General features: G+C 39.0%; 1 protein-coding gene across 7 annotated transcripts in view, besides 1 other annotated feature; it reads right to left on the bottom strand.

Moving 5' to 3' along the window:
* GRIN2A (glutamate ionotropic receptor NMDA type subunit 2A) overlaps positions 1 to 27931 on the bottom strand; it is a 429505-nt gene that overhangs the window by 84361 nt on the left and 317213 nt on the right. For all 7 annotated transcript variants that reach the window (NM_001134408.2, XM_047433994.1, XM_017023173.2 and 4 more), the window contains 3 exons: positions 11992 to 12197; positions 3172 to 3340; positions 2883 to 3036 (listed from right to left, as the gene is read on the bottom strand). In NM_001134408.2, the coding sequence (NP_001127880.1) occupies positions 2883 to 3036; positions 3172 to 3340; positions 11992 to 12197 (529 nt within the window). The remainder of the gene's footprint in view (positions 1 to 2882; positions 3037 to 3171; positions 3341 to 11991; positions 12198 to 27931) is intronic.
* Positions 5595 to 5844: an enhancer, noted in NCBI's record as "active region_10376". NCBI's record gives its function as "activates an Ori minimal core promoter by ATAC-STARR-seq in GM12878 lymphoblastoid cells {active_cell/tissue: GM12878}" and the evidence as "EXISTENCE:reporter gene assay evidence [ECO:0000049][PMID:35858748]".

Here is a 27931-nt window from a genome sequence, read left to right on the forward strand (position 1 = left end):
TCCTGGCATAGTGAGGCTCTCTTATTAAAATACGAGTATCTGAATCCATGTCAGACGGAGGGACAAAAGGAACATAATGAGGTGTGTATTTGTCAGGGTCCACATTACTCCAACAAAGGTTACAAAAATTGAAGCAACGAGTGCAAAATCAAATCCAGAGAGTGGCAAGCATTTTAACAGCTTAAATGGATTATCAAAAATGAAAACAGTAAATCCATAGCGCTCTGAATGTAAGGCAGTGTCCAAAATCCTGTTAGTCAATATTTCACTGAAGAGAACGAAACATGAAAGTTTCACTGGATGCCAACATTACATATAAATGAAGACAGTGGAAGAATAAGACAATGGGCTTGGAGTTGGTGTCCACAAATTGGTTTCAGTTTACAATTTGCTTTAAGAGATAAAGTTATTTTTGTCTCTGGAAAAATATAAGAAAGTTAGTTGACTTTAATATAACTGTTTTCCCAGGGGGGAGATTTCTCAAACAACTAAAAGTAGATCTACCATTTGATCCAGCAATTTCACTACTGGGTATCTACCCAAAGGAAAAGAAGTTATTATATCAAAAAGACACTTGCACACATATGTTTATCAGAGCACAACTCACAATTGCAAAGATATGGAATCAACCTATGAGCCCATCAACTGATGATTGCATAAAGAAAATGTGGTATATATACATTGTGGAATACTACTCAGCCATAAAAAAGAATGATGCAATGTCTTTTGCAGCAACTTGGATGAAACTGGAGGCCATCATTCTAAATATATGATAGTCATCTAGCAAATAAATGACTGTTGTTCTTTGTGAGATGGAGGATGGGTATGTAGATGCTGAATAAAGGTTTATGGGCTGATTTAAATTAACTGTGGACCGACAGGTTTATTTTTAAAATGTTTTCAAGACTCTAAGCAATATAGCTATTAATTTACATTCCACAGTGTCAAGACCAGTATCTGAATATGTGATCTTATTTTTTTAGCAGCTTTTTCTAAGTTTGAGATAAATGAAAGATGTGAACTGGGGGATGGGTTTTTCAAGAATGGAAAATCTAATACTACATATTCTCACTTCTAAATGAAAGCTAACCTATGGGTATGAAAAAGCACACAAGTGGTATAATGGACACTGGAGACTCAGAAAGGGAGAGGATGGGAGGGAGATGAGTGATGGAAAATTACCTACAATGTACACTATTTAGGTGACAGGTACACTAAAGGCCCAGACTTCACCACTATATAATTCGTCCATATAACCAAAAATCACTTGTACCCCTGAGCTATTGAAATTTTTTAAAAATTATACATATTTTTCCCCTCTCAGTTTTCCTCCAGAGATTCACGTTTGTCTTAACCTTCCCTAATTTGGGACAAACCCACTTATATGGGAGTGCCAAGGGGGAATTAGTGATCTGAATTTCATGATATTCAACAAGATAGTTACAGTCAAAACTCATTTATGATAACCAAACAGTTAATACAACACTTTCCTTTAAAGACAAAAATAATGCTTTACTATGTTCCATGAAATTTCAACTCTAGCCAGGCTACCCAATACAGTCCAAGTGCTAGAGAAAAGCAGATGATAGAAAACATAGCTCTTCCTTGATTTAAAAAAAAAAAACACCTTTTATGTAAAAACATAAATTTACAAAACGGTTAAAAAAATCACAAGAATTTCCTTCTTTACAAACTATTTGGCTTAATGGGTAGTCACATTTAAAATATGATTCGATTAATTTTAAATCAGCATATACTTTTCAGACTATTCCTATTAGCAGAATATTGGCATAAATCATCGTGCAGTCATCATTATTTTCACTCTTACATCTAGCAAATAAATGACTGCTGTTCTTTGTGGGATGGAGGATGGATATGTAGATGCTGAATAAAGGTCTATGAGCTGGTTTAAATTAACTGTGGACAGCTTTATTTTTAAATGTTTTCAATATTCTAAGCAATATATCTATTAATTTACATTCTACAGAGTCAAGACCAGTATCTGAATATGTGATCATATTTTTTTCAGCAGCTTTTTCCAAGTTTAAGACAAATGAAAGATGTGAACTGGGGATGGAGGGGAGTGAATTAGGATGTATTAGTCTACTCTCACGCTGCTATAAAGAACTGCCCGAGGATCACTTGAGGTCAGGAGTTTGATATCAGTCTGGCCAACATGGCGAAACCCCATCTCTACACAAAAATTAGCCAGGCATGGTGGTGGGCACCTATAATCCCAGCTACTGGGGAGGCTGAGGTGGGAGAATTGCTTGAACCCAGGAGGCAGAGGCCGCAGTAAGCCAAGATCATAACACTGCACTCAAGCCTGGGCAGCAGAGCTAGACTCCATCTCAAAAAAATAAACTGTCTGAGATTGGGTAAATTTATAAAGGAAAGAGATTTAATTGACTCACAGTTCCACATGGCTGGGGAGTCCCCAGGAAACTTACAATCATGGCAGAAGAGGAAGCAGACACGTCTTACATGGCGGCATGTGAGAGAAGTGAAGCGAAGGGGGAAGAGCCCCTTATTAAACCCCTTATAATAATAATAATATAATGAGAGCCCCTTATTAAACCGTCAGATCTCATGAGAACTCACTCATTATCACAAGAACAGAAGGGGAGAAACCATCCCCATGATCCCGTCACCTCCCATCAGGTCTCTCCCTCAACAGCTGGGGATTACAATTCAAGATGAAATTTGGGTGGGGACCCAAAGCCTAACCCTTTCATAGGATAATTCAAATGCAGCATCCTCTGAAATATGCTGCCATGGCCAAACAGAGCTAAACAAGTTCCTTTCTGGTCCCATCCTCTGAGCAAACAAGATTTCCTACAATTCCTTATAGGAAAGCAATAGTCACTATGAAATTCACACACCTAGAAAAGCAGAAGGTGAGACGGTGCCATTACTTCTTGAAACCATGACACTGATTCCCGTTTCCACAAAGGGCACAGAGAAGTCCACCACTTCAGAACGTTCCTCATTGATGGTGAGCGAGCCAACTGCCATGACTGCCCGTTGATAGACCACCTGGATGCAAGGCAAAAAAAAAAAAAAAAAAAAGAGAGAGAGAGAACAACAGTACTTTACTTTTCCTGCTAACATTCCTGAGGACTGCAGGCCCTTTGTCTGAGTAAGAGCCTAGGGGATGAAAAGATAACTTACTTCACCGATCATTCCATTCCACACATTGTTAACTTTCTTGCCATGCTTCCCATTGGTCACCAGATAGAGGTCGTAAGTAAACTTCACAGTTCTGGAAAGCTTCTTCAGAATATCAATGCAGAACCCCTTGCAGCATTTCTTCACATTCATCCCCTCATTGGTTGAATTGCTGTAAAGAAAAACCCCAAGACCACAGAATGTTAGCACTGGAAGGTTTGTTCACAATCATTAGCTGTACTCTTCTCCTATTTTTCAGATGAGTAAACTGAAGTTTAAAAGGGGAAGTGGCTTTCCCAAGGACACACTGTGAGTACATGACAGCAAAAGCAGAAAGTGTCCTTAATTATAGCAGTTATCATGACAAGAACTAACACTTATTGAGTAATTACTATTTGCTAAGCACTATCCTAAAGGCTTCATACTAATTGTTGAATTAATCTTCATGACATTTTCTGAATTAGTTGATATTTGTACACCCATTAAACAGGTAAAAATTACCAACTCTTAAATTTTTAAGAGTTTATAACATACACAACTTTAGACTAGAGTTTAGTCATCAGATCTAAACTGAGTCATAAAAACTTACTAGAGAATGGAAGAGAGGAGGATGTGAAATTCTCAGAGAAAGCAAGGTTTTGCTTCATTCTATAATTACAGAGGCTTGAAACCAAAGGGGAGAAGTGAAGGTACCCAGACAACACCTCAGCCAAGAATCAGGAGACCTGGGTTCTATTCCATGCCTGATTTTGTGCACTGAACTTCTCTTGATAGAGCCAAATGTTACATGAGGGCTCATTAATAACATCTTCCCTACCTACCTATGTGACATGTAGTATAAAAGGAGACACTTCTAAAAGCAAGGTCCTTGATCAGGTAAAGACCCCATTAAAATTTAAACTATCTTAAAGGCTATTGTATACTCTACCAAGGCTACACTTACTGTTTTGTACCAGCCACCTTGCTGTATTCACCTGAACAAGACATATTCAAAGGACACCCAGGCAAACCAGAAAAATACCTTTAAAAAGAAAGGAGGCCGGGTATGGTGGCTCACACCTATAATCCCAGCACTTTCGGAGGCTGTGGCGGGTGAACACCTGAGGTCAGGAGTTCAAGACCAGCTTGGCCAGCATGGCGAAACCCTGTCTCTACTAAAAATACAAAAATTAGCCAGGCATGGTGGCAGGCACCTGTAGTTCCAGATACTCAGGAGGCTGAGGCATAAGAATCACTTGAACCCAGGAGGCGGGGGCTGCAGTGAGCCAATATCATGCCGTTGTACTCAAGCCTGGGTGACAAGAGTGAAACTCTGTCTCCAAAAAAAAAAGAAAAAAGAAAAGAAAGAAAGGAAACACTGGTCTATCCAACGGATAGCAAAAAGTACTTAGACAATTCACATAAGATCAAAGCCTTTCTTCTGGGCAATATGCTTGATTAATGGACATCCCATTAGCTCAACCCTGTCTTTGAGTTATGCATTTCATGAATATGTTCTCTGTTTGAATATCCCATTTTTGGCAAATCCACACATTGGAGTGTTACCTAAGCACTAAAGTGATGTCTATGGAAATCCAACATCATCACAGGAAAATTCTTATGCTTCCATGTCATATGAAAAAAGTAGGTTACACAGTAGTACAAACAGAATAATCACAGCTATATAAAAACAGATGAGCTTATGAAATAACTGTATGGAAAAACAATGAAATATGAAGCATAGGACAGGTGCAGTGGCTCATTCCTGTAATCTCAGCACTTTGGGAAGCCAAGTTGGGTGGATCCCCTGAGGTTGGGAGTTTGAGACCAGCCTGGCCAACATGGAGAAACCCCATTTTTACTAAAAATACAAAAATGAGCTGGGCATGGTGGCATGCACCTGTAATCCCAGCTACACAGGAGGCATAAGAATAGCTTCAATCTGGGAGGTAGAGGTTGCAGTGAGCCAAGATCGCACCACTGCACTCCAGCCTAGGTGACAGAATGTGACTCTGTCGAGAGAAAGAGAGAAAGAAAGAAAGAGAGAGAGAGAGAGAGAGGAAGAAAGAAAGAAAGAAAGAAAGAGAGAAACAGAAAGAGAAAAAGGGGGGAGAGGGAGAGATAGAAAGAAAGAAAGAGAGAGAGAGAAAGAGAGGGAGGGAGAGAGAAGAGAGAAAGAAAGAGAAAGAAATAAAGGAGGAAACGAGGAAAGGAAGAAAGGAAAGAAAGAAAGAAGCAAGCTATTTTGGAACGGTGAAAAACATGTTTTCTTTTTTACATTTTTAGGGTTTTTCCCCAAATTATCTAGTAAGTACATACTACTTATGTAATTGGCAACACAGACACACACACACGCATCAAACAACATTGATTTACATGATATACATCATCTCTATATCCATGAAGGTGGGCAGATTTGACAGAACAATTTTTTAAGAGACACGCTCTTGCTCTGTTGCCCAGGCTGGGTTGCAGTGATGTGATCATGGCTCATGGCAGACTGGACCTCCTGGCCTCAAGTGATACTCCCACTTTGGCCTTTCAAAGTGCTGGGATTACAGGTGTGCGACACCATACTCAAGCTGGAAAACATAATTTTGAGTAACAGAAGTGGGTTGTAAATGACACCTGCTTATCAATGCTTTCCTTTATCTCAGGATCACAGACTGCCTGTCTTGAATCACTCTCTTCACCATTGTATCCCACCCCCACATCCTGTCAGTGACTTGTACTCAACCACTCTGCTTCTGTCAACCCAGACCACCATAGAGACTTTACTCTCTTGCCTAGAGGCTGGATGACCTGCTGTCATCCACCACCCTTAGTGGGGGGGTAGTAGGAGGCCACATCTGTGTATATTTACATGTGATGATTAGTGACCTCAACACTGTACAGTCATGGGATATGTGCCAGCTCCATCTCCACCAATTACCCAGAATGGAGGGGGTTGGGCTAGAGTTAAAACTGCCACAAATATGATAGAAATGTGTCCTAAGTACATTAAAGTTGATGGAATGTCCAGATACCATTTCCTTCTTAGTATACATGGCTCTGAAAAATGTGTCAAAATCGAATTCTCTTTTTCTTTCTGGTCGCTGTTGGCCATGCACTGATGCCCTTTCCCTACCTCTGTTCATTTGTATCACCTTCATTCTATGTTCCTTCCCTTCTTCCCCTATCACAGGCTCTTCCTTCACCTGGTCAAGATTTCTGGAAGATTAGAGAGAAGTTTTAGGTGCCCCAGGTTTAAGATTCAAGGTCACAGGCATATAGTGGCATTCTTTGGTCTCCCTGGAAACCTCAGCCAGTTTATGAGTTATCTCACCCATATCCCTGAACATGAGGTATATTTCTAAATACAAATGATCAATGACGCATTTTCACCCAACAAGCACCCACTAAGTGCCTACTGTGCACAAGACATGGAACTGGGCCTTGGGGACACAGGATGAAAAAGGCACGCAGCAAAGGCAATAGTTGAATTTATCACAGTAATTATGGAATTGCAGACCAGCTTGTAATTGGGAACGTCTGTTGGTTCCTATTACAGCCCTTGTGTGGGTGTGCAGGGGATGTGACTTAACTACACAGACTGAGAAATGGTCCCCATGTGATCTCTCTTAGTGCTCCACCACCACCCAAGAGAGGGAATGACTCACAAAAACAAATACGGGGAAAGGGATCCAACAAATTGTCCAGTTTACCAGCTCTACAATTTCCCAGTATAGCCGGTGGATGTGAGCACAGCCATGCGAGTCAGAGCTGTGTCCAGGTCCTGGGTTGGCTCCTGTCCACCACGCAGACTCAGACAAATCTCATCCAGCACTTAAAAATAAATTTCCTTTCTTCCCACCAATGATTTGACAGTTTGGGAGCTTAATTGACAGCATGGCCATTTCTCGCTACACATCAGGCCAAATGATTTTTCCAATTTTCTCTGCATGTCTTTATCACCCAACTAACAGACCAGAAAGGAAGATTTCTCAGCTCATTTCCGGTTACCTGGTATTCTTAGAAGATCCCACCACTTGCCAGAAGTGAGAAACAAAAAGGTTTCACACAATCATGTTGTCTAACAGGAATTCTTTTTGCAACTGATCAGCCTTCCTCAAAGACGTTCCCTATAGGAAATGCAATTGATCTAATCTTCTTTAATGTTGGGATTAGTGGATCCTAGCAATTCTCTATTGCTCTCACGAGTCAGACTTTCATTTCATCCAGACACAGTAAACTCCTCATATCCCCAAGCGGAAGAAGGAAAGCTGCAAGCTACTATCTCCTCACAGAAACCAAAAACGTGAATTTGAACCTGTTAAGCTGTTGATAGTCTTCAGTAGAAAAGTCAATTCTTTTAAAGACAGCAATTTATTTTGATTTCTCTTCCTCATACAAATGTGACTCAGTACTTGGGGATCTACTTGTTTTCAGCTCCAGGGCTTTTGATTTTAAAGACTCTAAACTCCTATTATTGATTCTGGAGCACACGGGGCCTCAGTTGATTGCCCTATTGAAACACAGAGGGTATTGTTATCATAGGGGAGGTGTCCCACTGAAGTTAGACTCTGCTTTGTGCCAGCCACTTTGCTTTCTTCATCGGGCCAAGTTCTGCTCAAAGAACACCCACCCAAATTAGAACATCCTCTGACAACTTTCCCACATCATCCCCTCCATCCTCCTTGTAACTCATCACTCTCTAGCACTGCACTGGGTTTCATTCCGTTTCCCAAACTCCCAAGCTCCTTTCCTCCCCAGGGCCTTTGCACCTGCCATTGCCTCTACCTGGAAGGCTTTGCCCAGATATTCACATGTCTGGCTTCTTCTCATCCTGTATATATCACCTTAAATCTTATCTGTGTGAGCTAAAGTAACCCCACATACCCCGATGTACTCTCTTCTCACACCACTCTCTTTCTGTTCATCACAAGGTTTATTACAACATGGGGTCACCCATTTCTTCCTGGTCGAATTGTTTTCTAACCACGTAAGTTCCATGATGGAAAGGTCCTAGTCTTTTGCCCTCCCTGTTCATCCATGTATCCCCTGTGCCCAGCAATGTGCCTAACATGCAAACTGTGCTTAATGCACATTCATTCATTCTGTATTAAAACAATTTATTTATAACAATTTTACTTATAACAATGTCTGTGTTATTTCACTGTAAAGGAATTCAGCAAAAATCATTAAAACATTCCTGACCCCAAAACATGGTCTGTTTCACACAATTATGAATCATGATGAATTATGAATCATGAATCATGGGATGTACACTTGCCCTTCCTTGGTGGGCCCCACCTCTTCCTCATCTCCAGGAGAGTGGAGGCTGGGGGACTGCTTATCAAAAAAAAACTTCATCCCAGGGAGCCACAGTGGGGACACTGGAGAAAGCAAGGGCCTTTTTAGGAGGGGCATATTTATTTATTCCATGATGTATTCAGGATTTCAACTTCAAAGAGGCTGACATTTGTGACCTCACTGATAAAATTTTCTCCAAACCAAAACAGGCCTTCACAATACATTTAGCAATCACATATTATATCTTTAAAATCCTGATCTCAAGGACTGAGATCTGGGCACTTGCATCTTGTGTGATAATAGCTGAGACTGGAGTTTGAAACGAGGAAGTAAAAATCTCTCTTCCTAGTCATGAAACAAACATTGGTGTGTCATGCTGTGCCCTTGTAACTGAGGGTGCAAATATTAATAAGTCACATTCCCTATATGTAGGTGGCTCAGAAGCCAGGGAGAAGACAAACTATACACTGTAAAGACAGGTGATGAGGGTAGAGAGAGATACACCCAGGTACTGTGGAAGTAGGAAGAGCTAACCCAGCTTGGGGACGCAGGAGCTACACTTAAAGGATGAGTAAGAATTAGGTAAAAGAAACAGATCAGAAAAGACTCAGAAAACAAATAAAGTTTCCAACAGCAGGCCTTTTTCTTCTGTGAGTCTCCTGTGAGGTGGTGTTTTTGCTTATGTTTGCATTAGGAAATACCAGGATCAGGGCCTTGGAGGTGGCCATGGAGGTTTCTGTGTCCCCAGAGGGTTTGTAGATTAAGGGGACCTCATAATGGACAATGCCAGCTCTTTCTTCAATCATAACAAAAGGAGAAATGACACAGATGCAGTGCCTGCTGGCTGTTGCTGAGCTGAGAAACTGCCAGAAGTTCCATTTGCACCTGGATTGTATCAGAAAGTAACATGCAAGGTGTGTGTTCACTCCCAAATGGAGAGACGTTTTTAACCTTCTTGAGAAGCATAGATCTGGGATCTATAAAAGAGATGGAAGAAGAATGTGTGGGGGGAAGGAAAGGGACAGCCAGAAAAGTGGAAACTAAATAATTATTTTTAAAAAGACTAAAGGAAGCCGGACACAGTGGCTCACATCTATAATCCCAGTGACTCAGGAGGCCAAGGCATGAGGATCACTTAAGGCCAGGAGCTTGAGACCAGGCTGAGTAACATAGCAAGACTCTTGTCTCTAAAAAAAAAAATTAATTAAAACATGAGCCAGACATGGTGGCACAGGCCTGTAGTCTCAGCTATTCAGGAGGTTGAGGTGAGAAGAACACTTGAGCCTAGGAGTTCAAGAATGCAGTGAGCCGTGATCACACCACTGCACTCCAGCCTGGGGGACAGAGCAAGACCCTGTCATTATATAAAAAAAATTAATGTTTTATATATTTTTAACACATAAAAATATATAATGTTTTATATATTTTTAACACATAAAAATATATGTTTTATATATTTTTAACACATAAAAATATATGTTTTATATTTTTTAACAAAAATATGTAATGTTTTATATATTTTTAACACATAAAAATATATAATGTTTTATACATTTTTAACATATAAAAACATACGTTTTATACATTTCTAACATAACAGTAGGGGCATATTTATTTATTCCATGATGTATTCAGGATTTCAACTTCAAAGAGGCTGACATTTGTGACCTCATTGATAAAATTTTCTCCAAACCAAAACAGGCCTTATTTTTATATGTTTTATATATATATAAAAATATATATGTTATATATGTTTAACATGAAAATATATGGTTTATATATTTTTAATATATAAAAATATATTGGTTTCTATATGTTAATATATGAAAATGTTTTATATATTTTAACATATAAATATATATTTTATATATAAACTTGTACATTAACTATATATTTTATCTATAAACATATAGTTTATATATAAAAATAGTTTATATATAAAATATGTAAAAATATATGTTTTATATATCTCAATATATAAAAATGTATAATGTTTATATATTTCTATTTTCATTTATTTATTTATTTTTGAGTCAGAGTCTCACTCTGTTGCCTAGGCTGGAGTGTAGTGGCTCGATCTCGACTTATTGCAACCTCCACCTCCCAGATTCAAGTGATTCTCATGCTTCAGCCTCCTGAGTAGCTGGGATCACAGGCGCCCACCACCATAGCTGGCTAATTTTTGTACTTTTAAGAAAGACAGGGTTTAGCCATGTTGCCTAGGCTGGTCTTCAACTCCTGACCTCAAGTAATCTGCCCAGCTTGGCCTCCCAAAGTGCTGAGATTATAGATGTGAATCACTGTGTCCAACCATATGTATTTTTAATATATAAAAATACGATGTTTTATATTTTTAATGTATAAAATATGATGTTTTACATATTTTAATGTATAAAAATATATGATCTTTTATATTTTTAATATATAAAAACATATGGTGTTTTATATATTTAATACATAAAATATATGTTTTATAATATTTTAAATATATAAAATACACTGTTTTATAATATTTTAAATATATAAAATACACTGTTTTATAATATTTTAAATATATAAAATACACTGTTTTATATATTTAAATATATAAAATACACTGTTTTATATATTTAAATATATAAAATACACTGTTTTATATATTTAAATATATAAAATACACTGTTTTATATATTTAAATATATAAAATACACTGTTTTATATATTTAAATATATAAAATACACTGTTTTATATATTTAAATATATAAAATACACTGTTTTATATATTTAAATATATAAAATACACTGTTTTATATATTTAAATATATAAAATACACTGTTTTATATATTTAAATATATAAAATACACTGTTTTATATATTTAAATATATAAAATACACTGTTTTATATATTTAAATATATAAAATATACTGTTTTATATATTTAAATATATAAAATACACTGTTTTATATATTTAAATATATAAAATATACTGTTTTATATATTTAAATATATAAAATATATAATTTCTATATATTTATATATAATGTTTTATATTTTAATATATTAAGATATGTTTTATATTTATTTTAATATACAAAAATGTTTTCTATATTAAAAATATAAAGATATTTTTTGAATATGTATGTTCAAAAATAAATAAATGAATAAATTAAATTAAACTAGAAAGACTGAAGGGGAGGATTGATTCAACCTAAGGGTTAAAAACATGTCTGTGGAGTCAGTTGGACCACTGTTTGAGTCCTACCTCTTCCATTTCCTAGCTAGATGGCTTTGAACATGTTTCATAATCTTCCCATAACTCGGTTTTATCATATTTACAATGGGCAAAACTACTCACCTCATATTGCTGGTGGAATTAAATGAATGCAAGTGTGGCACATCTCTAGGAATTTATCTAAGTCTTTTTTAAATTGATTATTGTATTATACCTACTATAACGACGTGTATTTTCTATGACATTTTGTGATTCAAGTACACATATTGTTACTATCGATGATCCATGCTATTTCAAAGGGTTGGGCACGTTCAGGTGACAGCATTCCTGCCACTCACTTGATTTTGACGAACTTCCGACATGGCACGGTGTTCCTCACACACGTCTCGGTCAGGGGGTCTATGTCTTCCACGATGACGAATGGGGCCTCCTCCAGGGTGACGATGCTGAGATGGTTGTCATCCGGCTCACAGTCGGAGAAGGACTTGTACCTGGGCCACACGGCGTGCCTCAGGCTCAGCGTATGGTTCTCCCACTTGCCCACCTGCAGCACAAACACAAAGACACAGCTGTGCTTTCTTCCGCCGCTGATTTCTGGAGAGGCAAATCCTTTCCCTGCCAGAGACATCCATCCGTCTCAAGGGCCTTTCTGCCACATATCTCAACATATGCATCTACTTCTGTGCTAAGACAAACGGGCATAAAGAGAAAACAGAATATAGGGCAGTTCTCCATCCCAGCCGCCCTCATCCCCAGAGGAATCAACCTGCATCTCTGGAGGCAGTGCCCAGGCACTGATACCTTTACAGCCCCGCAGGTGGTTCTAATGTTCTGCCAGAGTTCAGGACCACGGATGGCAAGGAAACAGCATAGACTTTTAGAATCAGAGAGGTCTGGGTTTGATTCTCCCACTGTACCACTTACTAGCTGTACTAGGCAAGCTCTTAATCCTAAGATCTTCTGTTTTCTCATCTGTATAATGAACACAATTCCCCCTACTTCCTAAGGATGCCATGGGAATTCAATAAAGCAATGCATGAAAGGCAAAAGCACAACATAGGTACTCCATATTGTTTCTAAGTATAAAGGAGAGAAAGTGAAAAGGAGAAAGAAGAAAAAGGTGCTAAGATGAAGGAAAAGAGAAAAAGGGAGAGGAAGATGAAGCTAGAGAGTGAAAAGAAGAGGAGTGGGGGTTGAGACAACACAGAGAAGAGATGGAGCAGGTGGGGAAATTAAAAGCATCATTTTGACCCCAGATACAGTTCTATTTAAGTTGCAAATTAAGGTGAACTTTTATTAATCCTGCACAGAGGGGAGACTGTCACTGCTTAGCGTACATCAAGACCTGTCAAAATAGAATCGATTGTATTCCCTCGGAGCAGCAGTCGGCATCTTAGTGCAATCAAATTGAAGGCTGTATATTTTGAACCTTAATTTTATTTGACAGCTTATTGGCGCTATTCACATACACGCTGGGAGGAAGCTGCCCCCGCACCGCTCTTTCTCCCTTCTCCTCCTGCTCCCACACGCCATTGCTTGACACCACAGGTCACCGCTTTATTTGTAATACCAACCTCGAGGAAAACACCTCGTGTGAAAAGCTAAGTGCCAAATCCAGGCTTGTCTGTGTTGACCAGACCCACTCACCTCTCCTCCTGTAATGTTTAAGTGTCACCAGAAATGAATCTCAAACCCTTAAAGAGAATTCAAACATGCCGGACACCAGGAGAGGTGACAGGGTGGGAGGAGAGAAAAGAATCAGTGCTCTCTAAGATTACCTCATCATATGGGCTGGAAAATTTTTGCTGGCTATAAAGAAACATTTCCTGTGGCTAATTACAAAATTGTCCAGCATTGCTGATACATTTCTTTTTAAGATAGGATGGCGAGTAGAGCAATTTGGTTAAACACACACACACATGTTCATTTATTCACGCTATGATATGTAACAGGCTGGGGAGAATGCTGAGCGCATCAAATTCTTCATTCATTCGACATAGATTTATTGAAGACCTACGATGTCCCAGTGCCAGCCTAGGAATAATGATGGCTAAAACAGAATGACTCTTGCCTTCTTGGAACTGTCAGTCAGTTGTACGACATAGATCAAACCAAAAATACTGAAATATGCAAATAGATAAAGAAATATACAAGTGTTTCCTTTTGGAACATGTTATACCAATCCCTTTTCTTTCCATTTGCCTTGGAAGACTCAAACACAACCTTCGAGAGAGGGTGGGTAGTTCAGTGGGTAAGAGAATGGCTTTTGAAGTCAAACAGAACTAAGTGTAAATCCTGGCTTCATCCACTAGCTGAGTAGCCTTGGGAAAGTCATTCAACCTCTCTGAGCTTCACTTTCTCCATTTGTAAAATGAAGAGAGCAACAGGGTATGACCTTGAAGACTGCAGTAAGGTTTGAATGAGCCAAAAAGTACCAAAAATATAGAGCACAAAACCTGACATGGCATGTAACACATATGGTGGCTGCTATTATTTTACTATTGTTGTTAACATTTAAAACATAACTGAACTGTCACCTTACCTGTAAAATCATTCCTGCTTTCCCTAGTAATATAGAACTTTGCGCATATCTCCACCGTAGCATTTTATATTATAACCTCAATGACATAACTTTTGAGCACTCCTGTACAGTCAGGAAATGTGCCAATATCACCACTTAGTTTAATTCCTACAAACTCTACATGGTAAGCATTATTATTCCAACTTCGTAGTTCAGGAAACTGAAACACAGAGAGGTTATGTGACTTGCACAAACTCACACAGCAATAAGTGGTGGAACCAGAGTTATAACGTGGGGCTTTCTGAACCCAAAGGTGCTTTCTCGCTATGTACAGTGTTTCTGTGAATTGAGCTACAGTAACCACGTTATAGCTCCAACACTCTTCCTTCCTTGCAGACATGTTTCCTAAAGTCCCAAGATAATGTAAATTAAGGCAAAGACTAGCAGAATCTTTGGTGATGTCATTGACCACATCACAACCCCCACACCATGGGAGTCAGGCAAAAGTTTCAGTCCAACGCTCGCTCATGGAGAGAAAAGTTGCAAAGGTTTATGAGCCCCCAGAGTGCAATAACTTCCTAAATCTTCTCCAAGTTCTACTCCCTGTTCCTGACACATCCAAGTATCCATGGGTCAGCCAAGGAGGTTGAAGATGAGTGGTAGGTAGAGAGAACTCGATCAGGAGCTGAAGCTGCTGTGTCAACACTGCCCTAGGTCCCAAGAGCTCTTACCTTCTTTTCTCATCTGATAGACCCTTCGGCACCCCACTGCAAACACCAAAAATCTCAACTACTAAATCGTATATACCAGATAAAGGAGAACAGACATTCTTCACTTTCCCTGCCTATATTCCTATTTACAAGGGACTATAACTGAGGCCAGTGTTTGTAGACAGGTTTAGCAGAGTCATTCATTCCATAAATATGTGTTGAGTGGTTACTAGGTTCCAAGCACTGTGCTAGACACTGAGAATACTGTAATGGAAGTGATAAAATGTTTGCTTGCATGAAATTTTTGTGCTAATTGAGAAGACACATGAGTCAAATGATTACACAAAAACATATGTTCATACAAATTGGGAGGAAGAAATGAAACATGGGTCTAAGAGAGCATATAGGAGAAAAGATATCAGAGACATCTTCCCTGAGGAGGTGACACTTAAGCTGAAATTGGAAATTCAGGATGAGTTGCATCGTGGCAGTTGTGGGAAGGAATTGTGGAGGAGCAGAGAAGGAAAGAGCACTCCAGATAGGTGGAGACCAGAAAATGCAAAGCCTTGTAGGCTCTATTAAGAAGTTGGGATTTACCTTAAGGGTTTGCTACAGACTGAATATTTGCGTCCCTCCAAAATTCATAGGTTGAAATCCTAACCCCTAATGTGGTGGTGTTAGGAGGAGGGGTCTTTGGGAGCTGATTAGGTCATGAAGGTGGAGCCCTCATGAATGGGGTTAGTGCTTTTATGAAAGAGGCCCCAGAGAGACCCATTGCCTTTTCCACCATATCAGTATGCAACAAGAAGATTGCTGTCTATGAACCAGGAAGCAGCTCTCACCAGACGCTAAATCTGCTGGCACCTTGATTTGGACTTCCCAGTCTCCAGAAGCATGAGAAACAAGTTTCTGTGGTTTATAAGCCACCCAGTCTATGGTATTCTGTTACAGCAACCCAAATGGACTAAGAGTCAATCAAGTTCAATGGCCAGAATGGAAAAAGATTTATAGAAGTCACCATGGATATATGTCCATATATAACCTGCCTGAAGATGGAAGCTTCTTTGCCTACTCCAATTTTTTTTTAATTATGGAAATGTTCAAATGTATTTAAGAGTAGAATCATATAATGAACCTCCGTATTCCCAATGTCCAGCTTCAATAATTAGTACTCATGACCAATCTTGTTTCATTTATACTCCCACTCACTCCTTCTATATTACAGCAAAAAAACCCATTATATAATTTATTCATAAATCCTTAATTTGATTTAAATATCTAAACATCATTTGCTTCACAATATTATACCTCAATAATCTACAATAATCTATGTGTTTATGTATATGTTTTACTTATGAGACTATGATTTCCCAGTCTACCAGGAATTTTATATGCGTAATGATTGGTTTCTATGTCCACAGCTTCTAACTCAGGGCATGCCACATGGAGGGACTTAATGGGTAGTTTTTGGTGGAGTGAATAAACATACAGCCTGTATTTTTTACATGTGCATGAGTCAGAAAGTGTTAGAATGATTAATGTGTCCATATGTGCCTCAGCTTTGGAATCTTGTACCCTAGGCAAAATATGGAAGTATCAAGGACCTGTATTCTCTCCCTTGCTCTTACTGCAACTTCAGCCCCCGAGACTCAGAGCCATTGAGGGTGGCCGTCTGAATAGCCTTTGGGTATTAAATTTCCCCAGAGAAAGCAAACAGCATCATCCTAACACCATTTTAAAAAGGGACTCCAGCCACCAGAGTATTCAGGGAGAAAGAAAGAACCAATGGGTTGAATCCTGAAGACCTCAGTTTCGACTGTCATATTGTTTCTGCTTGTCTCCATTTCCACAGTGGCATGGAGTATGTATGCTCCAAATGCCTTTATTTAGAAGTTATATCCAAAATGGAAGGACCCTGTGCACTTTGAAGATGGCAGCCAAAAATATCTCTGCTCCCACCTTGGACGTGATGGTGACTCTTCTGCTATTCTCTAAACTGGACCTTTTTCCTGTTCCCAATCCTCTCCATAAAAGTGAACACCACACTCAGCTGAGTCTGTAACTTTAGATCAGCATTCCTGACTCATAAAAGCTATTCTGAAGTGTGAGCCAATACCAGGGTTGCACCGCATTTCCTCCAGCAGTGCTTCCAGGAGTAAGGTTTCAATCCATTTCCTCCAGCAGTGCTTCCAGGAATAAGGTTTCAATGCATCAGAGCAAGTGAAATCATACAGTCCTTGTCAATCACATGCTATTTTTGGAGCTTGGAGGGAAAATGAAGTTCCAGGACACCTTGCCAAACTTCTGGTTATATTTATACACAACCAGGACAGGCAAGCACGCTTGTGTGTGTGTGTGTGTGTGTGTGTGTGTGTGTGCTGTATACATGTACATGTATATGCACATATGGATCCCATTGAGTTTTCAGGCATCAACTTCATTGCTACAGAACCCCTCTCTTCTCTCCTTTACATGGCACAGGACAAGAGGGTTCAGAATCATTAATAGCACAGGCTTAGAGATCAGACAGATGAACAGGTTCAAATCTTGTCACTGCTTTAGCCATGTGACCTTGAACAAGCCACATAATCTTTTTGAACCTCAGTTCACTCAATCACCAAATAAAAACAACACTTCCATTTCATATGCTGTTATGAGGCTTACTTATAAGATAATAACAACAAACATCTCTTAATGCACAGTTCCTGGCACACAGAAAGGTCTCCATACGTGGAACTATTATCATTAATTCAACATTTGTTAAACTTATCTTCAGGAAAATGAGCCTCTGTAGCAGAAGAACTAATTGACAAATGGAGATCTGAGTTTCTTCAATGGCATTCCCTTGACTTTTGACCTCACTGATTGGGTGTCATTCTCCTCACTGTAACAGGAATGAGGGGAGTGGGTTTGAATCAGATAATCTCTAAGGTCTTTCAGGTATAGCACTCTATGTAAAATGCAAGGATAAGCTGCCCTCCCAAATCTTTCCTGATTTGAGCTCAGGGTAATGAGTACATAATTAGAAGAGGGGCAAAGGTGGCACTCCTTACTTGACATTTAATTCTGTATGGCAACCATATATTAGGGCAGTCTTGCACCCAGGGTGAAAGGACAGCAGAAAACAGCCAAATGGCAAGCTATCTCTAAAAAAGGTGGCAGGATGGTTCTGAGAACCAGTTAGAAGACTGAGGAAAGAAGAACATGGTCAATAGAGCCCTCTTGGATAGTAATTCTCCATGCTGCACAAAAAACAGTGGTACTCAAATCTGAGGCTTTTCTCAAAGCTGGCTCTTCCTCATTCTCTAAAGAAGGGCATGAGTTCAAATCCTGACTTGTCCATTCCTAGCTGGGGCACAGTGGGCAATAATGACAAAGACCATTGTTAACACTGATTAGGGCTTTACTATGTGTTTCCAGGAGCAGTGCTAAGGGTTTTTCATTCATTATATGACTCAATCCTCAAGGCAACTGTAGGACATAGATAACTATAATTATCCTCATTGCATGATGAGGAAACCAGGGCTTAAAAATATTATGTTTCTTGCTCAGGTCAGATCATAAGGCTCACAGTAAGAATTTAAACTTAGTCAGTGAAAACCTCTAGAGCACAGCTTAATCACTACCTCCCTTTTTGAAATTTAGTTTCTTCATATTTTAAAGGTTACAACAAGGCCACAGAGTTGTTATAAAGATTACATAAGATTCACGCCTGTAATCCCAGCACTTTGGGAGGCTGAGGCGGGTAGATCACGAGGTCAGGAGATCGAGACCATCCTGGCTAACATGGTGAAACCCCGTCTCTACTAAAAAAAAAATACAAAAAATTTGCCGGGCATGGTGGTAGGCTCCTGTAGTCCCAGCTACTTGGGAGGCTGAGGCAGGAGAATGGCATGAACCCGGGAGGCCGAGCTTGCAGTGAGCCGAGATCGCGCCACTGCACTCCAGCCTGGGTGACAGAGTGAGACTCCATCTCAAAAAAAAAAAAAAAAAAAGATTACATGAGATGATAAAAATAAGTCTTTCCGTTTCTACTATTCCGAAAGCTTTAATAATTTCTGTAATCCTAAAAATAGATACATGAATAACATGCTACTTTTATTATCTCCATTTCATAGATGAGGAAACTGAGGCATGGGGTTTAAGTAATTGTCCAATTCATATGGCAGAACCAGGATGTGAACCCAGGACTCATTTTTAAGTCTGTGAAAAAATGCAACTAGAATTTTCTGCTGAACAAAAAAAAAAGACTAACTTTACAATGCAGAAATGTGACAGATGTGATGTCAGCTCAATGGTCAAAGCCAATATGGACAATGATAAATCATTCTAATAGTACATATCCTTAATATGATGTGATGATAATGGCGTGGTGTTCTACCTGTGTCGTCTTATAACCTCGGTGTAATTATAAGAAAACTATCAGAAAAATTCCAATGTAGGGGTATTCTAGAAGATATCTGACCAGTAGTCCTCCAAATTGTCAAAGGTCATTAAAAAACAAGAAGGTCTAAGAAAGTGTCCTAGTCAAGAGGAGCCTAAGGCAATATTACAATTACATGTCATATAGGATCCTGGATCAGCTATCAGGATGGAACAGAAAAAGATTAGATAAAAACTAAGGAAATCTGAAAAAATCATGGGTTTTAGTTGACAATAATATACGAATTGACTCATTATGACAAATATACCATACTAATGTCAGGTGTTAATAATCAGAGAAACTGGGCATTAGGTATGTGAGAAGTCACTGGACTATCTTTGCAAGTTTTTTGTAAATATAAAACTAGTTAACCTAAAAAGTTTATTCAAAAACTGTTTTTGAATTCAAAAGGGAGAGTTTTTTAAAAACAGCAAATATGTTCTCAGACACAGAGTAGCAAAGTTGCCAGGAGTTTAAACTTTGGAGCCAGCCACTCTGGCTTCAAATCCCAGCTGTACCACTTGTGAGCTGTGCCACTTGGGCAAATTTCTTAATATCTATTTGCCTCAGTTTCATCACCTGAAAAGTAGGATGATGTTAATAGTATAATTCACAGGATTGCTGAGAGGACTAAATTAATGTATTAAAGCCCATAAAGGAATGCCCAATGCTATGTGCTATGTATTGCTATTTTGTCATTGTTTAAATCAATGGGGAAACAATTTTAGAGTAGAATTTAGATTATTTCATGTTTTAACTTCATAAGAGCTTTTCTCGATACTAACTTTAGTTTAATTTAGACACAGTTTTTACCATGTCAGTAGTTTTAGCCATAAATCACGCTTTTCTCCACATTTCTCCCAAGGGTTTCACAATAGCCTTATGCTGTTTTGCTTACCTGTCATTCATTTATCAGATTTTTGGTTATAGCATATTCATTTTCCCTTGGAGAGATGCTGCCCTAATTTAACGAATAGGCACGTGTCCTTTATTTGGCAAATCAGTACACTGACTGGCTCAGGAATGTGCATGTGACCTAAGCTAAGCCAATGAGAGTTTTCCCTGGGACTTTTGATGGAACTATCAGAACAGGGCAGTCATGAGAGAACAACTTATCAGAAAATAAATACTGGCTAAGAAATTGAGAGAAGAAAGCAATAAAGTGGGGATGGCATTGCTTGAGTTCTTATAATAACAGTAAAAATTGACATTCACTAGGCACTTATTATGTATCAGGCACCATTCTTAGTGCTATTTTAATTCTAATAAACTCCCTATACGGAAGAGGAAGTTAGGGAAATACTTTTTTATCTCTATTATGAATTTTTTTGGTACTTAAAAGCAGTTCTCAATTCAACAAAATAGGTTGTGTGGGAGGAGAAAAAAAATCTTTACCTTTAAAATAAACTGAATTTTGGTGATAAGCCTTTGAGTGTTTTCAGAAATATACTGAAGTTGTGACGACAAAAATAATAATAATAATAATTGACCGCTGATGGAGAAAAGTGATTTTGCTAAAAGAAATATAAAAAGGGTAGATTAACTTTGTAATGATGTTTAATTCCTATTAATAAAATTTAAATACAGTGCTTTTAGGAAACTAATTGCTCTTCAGCTCCTAGAAAGATTTTTTTTAAAGGGCAGTGATTACTTATCAAAATGTTCAGCCAATATGTTCTTAGAGCAGAGATAATTTCATCTCCAGAAATTGTATGTCTCAAGTTAATATACACCTCTTATGTCCGGATAAATTCAGAGGGATGTTGCCAAGGCTGCAAAAGGCTGGAAGAAATTAGGTTAATAGATGTGCGTGGCTCTTTCAAAGAGATCTGAGTGTTTTATCTTATTTGATCTATTTATGAAATGCTTACAAGAGACAATTAAAATAACCTCATCACAGGTCTCCTGGTCTCTGAAGCCACCTCCTAAAAAACAAATATCTAAACACCAAAATTATAGATCTACTCCATGCTCAAGTCCCTCCATGTCTCATGCTGCCTACAAAATCAAATCCAGACTGCTCTGTATAGTAAAAGCTCTTCTATAATACAGGCCCAATCAACCTCACTATTCTCTTTTTCTCACTTTCTCTCTCTCATTCTCACACACATCGTCACACTAACACACACACACATCTGCCTTTGCACACACACTTATACCTACACATATTCACAATTAAACATGGAAAAATTCATAATAGAGATAAAAAGTATTTCCCAAACTTCCTCTTGTGTATAGGAAGTTTATTACAATTAAAATAGCACTAAAAACCGTGCATACATAAGTGTCTGATACATAAGTGTCCAGTGAATGTCAGTTTTTACTATTATAAGAACTCAAGCAATACCATCAGTACACCTACACATATATGTATACATATTCCTATACATCTATACATGAACCTCTACATAAAAGCACACTTATATACAGGTACATTCATGCCTACCCACGCTCACATTATAATCACATACGCTCACACCCACACGTACAACTACAAATACACACATACCTAACACAAACACATATACTCGAACCTCTACACACACACACACACACACACACACACACACACAGAGAGGATATGAAGCTACAATGATGCATACACTTTTCACAAAACACACCCTGAACGACACCCACTTTCCTGCCTATGCCTACACTATTTCTTCTGCCTGGAATTCTTCTCCTTATTATCTCCCCCTACTGAAATCCTACCCACTCTTTTCAGGCCTAGCTCAAATGCCAATACTCCCATGGAACCTAATTCTCCATCTGGAATTCATTTTTGCATTTTCTTTGCCTTTAGAACACACTTTCCCCTCACTTGTTTATTCATGAGCCCACATGCCTTCAGTGCTTTCCACTGTGCCGGGTAATACTGGAAGCCCTGGGGCTACGGTGGTGAACAGTCCTCAGAGAGGTCTATCCTATCCCTAGAGTTTCCAGTCTCGGTGGAGAGAAGTCAAAGCTTAATAGCAATGAAGTGAATGAAGTGAGACAAATGCTATGCCGGGAGCAGGCACAGGATGCTGTTGAAGAACACAGCTTCCTAATCTGGAAGAGAATCCAAAAAATGCTTCTAACAGGAAGTGGCTTCCAAATATGAAACAGGCATGGTGGCTCGCGCCTGTAATCCCAGCACTTCGGGAAGCTGAGGTGGGCAGATCCCTCGAGATCAGGAGTTCCAGATCAGCCTGGCCAACATGGTGAAACCCCATCTGTACTAAAAATACAAAAATTAGCCAGGCATGGGTCTGTAATCCCAGCTACTCGGGAAGTTGAGGCATGAGAATCACTTGAACCCAGGAGGCGGAGGTTGCAGTGAGCTGAGATTGCACCACTGCACTCCAGCCTGGGTGACAGAGCAAGAGTCTCTCAAAAAAAAAAAAAAAAAAAAAAAAAGAAAGACCAAGGGAGTTAGTAGGTTGCCTGTTATGGGGTTTTATCTTTATCCTATGGGCAAGTGACATATGTAAGGGATGGGGATGAGGACTTACTGAAGACCTTACTGAAATCAATCCCCCAATTAGAAGTGGATTAAACACTTCTTCTCAATGTAGTGCAGAGATAGAGTTTGTAGCTAGAAGATTCGGAAGGCAGAGTGACAAGCTGGGAGATGGCTGCAGGATCTGGATGACACAGGCCATGATGGTCAGGCTGGTGTGAACTCAAAGTGTAAAATCAACAGAAAAGAGATGGGCTGTAGGGGTGGGGAATGAGGGCCCAGTTTGCCTCGAATTATGGTTTTGTAGAGTGTCATGGCTGGCCAGTCTTCCTCAACCACGTGATCCATGTTCGATATAGTATAGTGCTCACCCACAATGCAGTTCAAGAAGTATCCGCTGAACTGAATTCAATTCTGACTGTAGCATATCATCCATTTTTACTTACAATTCAGAGTTTAAAAAGGGAAGTTGCCTGTTTACTCATCTTCTCTCCTTGGAGACAAGACAATAGAAATTGCAAAACTAAAAATCAGACAGGAAATTTATTAAAACCAACAACAGAAGCAGAGTTCAGGCTGCCTGTGCTCTAGTCTGGCTGGACCCAGTTAGCTCATTGGGTGGTTTCATAACCATGGGGAAACAGGCTTTAAAACAAACACATTGAGCTTGCAAACCTTCGGAGTATGTTTCACTCCAGAAAATAAGCAGTGATTTACTCCCAAGCTGGAGAAAACATGAGTAATTAACTCTTCAGGAAGATGATGTTAAGGAGGAAAAACAAAGCAAACGGGAGACCAATTTCTCTCCACCTGAAATATAAAGTCTGCCAAAGGACATGAGATAAATGGCCGTGAAGGAAATTTAAAATGATTTAGTGTCCATATTTATCATAAGTAGCAACATGGATTAGCATCACTTCCATGCCGCTGAATGCACATCTGACACACAAACAAACCGATCACAGGTTAACACATAAGTAATTCTGGGTCTTGGGTTGCTGCTTGAAACCAAAAGCAGATCTAAATGTAATTGATCCAGAAACAACAATAAAGATATCTGAGCCACTGCTGTGGCTTGATATTAGGTTGACATATGCTGTATCTGGAGGACTTTGCAGTTGAGTTCAGTGATGTTTTTTAAACCAATACCTGATCTAAAGAGTATCCCAGAAAACCAGTCTGCTGAAATCAAGCGTCACTTTGGAACTCAATTTTCCCCTGTGTGGTATGCACAAACAAGTTTCTATGCAGAAATTACTAAAGAGCAGGTGTGGGTCAAACCTGCTCTGTCTTCACTGCCATGAGCCTTGGATGGCTACCGGCAGAGTGAAACTAAGAACTGCTTTTCAGATATTGAGGTAAAGTGCCTGCTTCCTCTGAATGCACTGTTTTAAATGCAACGATTGGAGGTGGTGGGATTATGAAGCTTTGGCATGAATAAGAACCTTTCCTGGAAGCTGATTAAGAATGCAGACTCCTGTATCTCTGGAGTGTTGGAATCAGTAGATCTGGGATAAGGTGTGGGATCCTGACTTTTCAACCAGCGTCCTAGAGTCATTCTGCTCCGTGTGGTCTAAGGACCCCATTTTAAGGAGCACCAGGAGGGGAAGACCTATGACTAACATACAGGATTAAATAAAGCATAAGAACAAGATGGAAATCTTTCTTCTTGGGTTACTTATGTAACCACTGGCAATTGCCAGCAGATCTAAATGAGTTTAATCAGCTATTAGAGCCTTAATTAAATTCCTCTCAGTTGAAATTTCAGAATTGCCTAATTGTTACACAGCTCACATTGGAGAAGTAGATTTTTTTTCCTCTCGTAATAACTGCTCTCAAGATAATCTAGTATCTTTATGGATAACAGCATCAACTGTCTTAGAACCCAGTACTGATCTGGTAATTCATAGAAACGTGTTTTGATTGTTATTTCCATGAACAACCCGCATCTCTGCTTCCATTCTCCTCTTGAGGCTCAGCCAACAGGGGAAGAGCTCAATGCTTGTTCAATCTCAAATTTAAAAGCGGAAAAATCTTTGGAACAAAGAGCCATCATTTTCTTCAGGAGTTCATGTATAATCTTCAGTCCTCCAGAGTTCCTTTGTTGCCAGATCCCTGGGGAAAGATAGGAGTCCTATTTCTTTGGATTACTTTTAATTCTTTGTGTGCTCTTAAAAGTGATGGGTTCTTGTAATTAGCTAAAAAGTTAATAGTGTTTTCTCTCTTTTGGTTCTACCTTGGAGTAATATAATGCCAGAGACTTGAAAAATCAGCAAAAATAAAAAAGGAGCTCTTTCATAATCATGGATTAATTTTTTGAACTTGCTCTTGGGAGTCCTTCATTGTGCAAGTTCCGTATCAGTCCGTCTTCCATGGGCTGCAATAATAATTATTAAACAATTAACGAGTATAATTGTTGGCATTTATTGAGGTACTGTGATCACCCCAACGGGCATTTTCTATTTTACCCTCACAATCCTCTGATAAAAACGCCATTATTAGACTCGTTTTGTATGTTGGCAAACAGGGAATTTAAGTGACTTGCCCAAGATCAAACAGCAAGTGAGAAGACCTGGAATCTGAGCTTGGACTTCAGGGCAGGAGCTGTTACCACTGCCTGATATTTCCAAGGCTGCCATCCTATTTGCTTTGGGAAATATTAAGGCAAACATGAGCAGTTTGGTTTCTTAAGGGAATATTTCATGGATCAGTTGGGAAGACAGTATTAATAATTAGCACCATGCAGCACAGTGATGTCCTGAGAGTTGGAGAAGCCAGGTTCTCGCCCCAATATGCACAGTCTTCCACTTTGGGAAGGGGCAACATTTTCTTTCCATGTGGAGCACAGGAGGTGGGGAGAAAGCAGCCAGAGGTGGTCTTACAGTGTGCTTTTACTCATGACAGTTTTACTTCTTCCATTTGCCTGTGAATTGACTCTTCTGAGGACCTTGAATTCCACCACAGAAAATACCTCTAACAGCAGAGCTGCACTGAGCTCTACTTTGCAGGCTTGATGTTGAATTCCACTGCTACCAACACGGACATCCAAAAGGCGATCAGAACAGCAGATCAGGCAGAGAAAATCAACTGTTCAAATGTGAACCATGTGTCAATTAGGTAATTTGGGGGTTTCAACCAAGAGGAATGTCATTAATGCTCTAGCAGCTGATTGGACTTCTCCCTTGCCTCTGTGGTCATCTCCATCCATTATGTAAGGGGCCTTAGAAAGGAGGATTTCATCTTCATTCTGTATCATGTTATATTTGAGATATTGTTGGCCAACACAACACAATTCTGTTTCTATATCTGCATCTGTTATTATAAAAACCCAAACATAAACTTGGTTGAACTTAAGGGGCTGCTTCTTGGAGGAGAAAACTAGAATGCATATAGGTCTGCAAAAAAAGTTTAGGAGGAGATGTGAAGGTAACTAGGACAATCACAGAAACAGGAATTGGGGCTGGGGAAGGTTAAACACATAACATTGGATGAGAACTTGACCTAAGGACAGTCCTTTGTTACAGTAACAGTGATAACTATTATTATTTTTTAATACCTGCATAAAGACAATTTAGAAATATGGTAAAGGTTTTTGTTTGACCTTCTAATGTACTTTTTCTGGGTAAATTTCAAAGATCAGCATAACATCCAATTGTAAAATAAATGAAATGCCATTTGCAGTCTGGCAGAGTAAACAGCTCTTTTGGGGAGTATTTACCTGAATGATATTAAGAAGTTTTTTTTCCCTCAGCAAACTTGCCAATAAGAGTTAGAAAGTGGCTAAGAGAGGTAGACTGTGATCCTGGGCTGACAGCTGAAAAAGCCTTTTATTTATTGTGATAATCAATTCATTCTTACCAGCCTGAAAATTATGACTGAACATGACTATAGATATGACTTCTCTTACTCTATGGCAAGTTTTTTTTTAAATGAAAACCTTGAAAAGTGGTAAAATGTGGGGCTGAGTGTGTAACAGTTTATAAAAGGAGATAAGTTCCAGGTAATTAAACTGCAGGCTAAGGAAGCACGAGACTTCAATGCATCAAACCTGACTTGAAGGATCTAACAAGTCAAAAGCTGATGGATTTCCTCACTCAGCATTATGTAAAAAGCCAATTCCATTTGGATCTCAGCCCTGAACATTCAAAGTTAACCTCATTGACTGTGTCTGCAGAGTTTTGCAATAAGGTTACAGAACCTGGAGGTATCAATCAGTGGAACAGCATTTCATCCCCCTCGCCTGTGAAAAGTTATTGCGTTGTGAGAGGTGAAATGTCTGGAACTTGGTAGCAGGTCTCTGATGGGCATTTGTTCTTCTGTATCTGGGGCAAAATAATAAATTTAAGTTTTTGAGATGGACATTTTCCTTCTTCCAAATGAAAGGGGTTGGTGCCTGAGGCCCTGCTAGTTATTATGAGGATGCTAACCAAAGCCGTTGTGCATGGGTGAAATGCATCGTTATGATGAAATGCACACTGATGAGAATTTCAATTTTCCTTAGATAAGATGGTATTTTGACAATCATTTTTCTTTGCTCATCTCTGGCCCAAAACTACTTTGCTCCAGGCTTGTCTGAGCTCTAAAGTATTCCAACAAGAGGATCATTTGAAATACTAAAGCCAACAGAAGATTTAATAGTGAGAAAACAGTAATAAGCTTAACGACAGCTTTGCCCAGTTAAAAACGTGATTATTCTAAGGCACTGGGGGAAGAGGAGGGTTCCCTTGGGATGGGATGGATAAGACTTGCTGTTTTTGAAAACTAAGCCTAAGTAACCCACCACCGTCAATCCAATTTCACCCAAACCAATTATCCCCATCTCAGACAGTAATCAACAATTTGAGAGCCCTATGGAGCCACTGGGAGAAATGAGAATCATGGTGACCAATCAGGAAGCCTCTCAGCATTGCTTTTCCCACTGAATTATTAATATAGTGGCAAACACAGCAGTTTAAAAGAACCGTGCATTTGGAGTTGGAAGACCCAAGTCCAAGTTCAACTATGATACTTATGAGCTATGTCACATCAAAACCTTTCAAACTCACACAAATTATAGCCAAAAGCAGAATCTCAGGATTCCTAATTACTCCAAGTGTTACAACCAATAAACAGAACTATTCTGTAGGTTTTCAGTTCCTTAGGGTTAGATCACATGCATTCATCTTGCTCATTCATTCATGGA

The sequence above is a fragment of the Homo sapiens genome, chromosome 16 (genome assembly GCF_000001405.40).
Source record: "Homo sapiens chromosome 16, GRCh38.p14 Primary Assembly".
In the NCBI taxonomy this organism is placed as follows: Eukaryota; Metazoa; Chordata; class Mammalia; order Primates; family Hominidae; genus Homo; species Homo sapiens.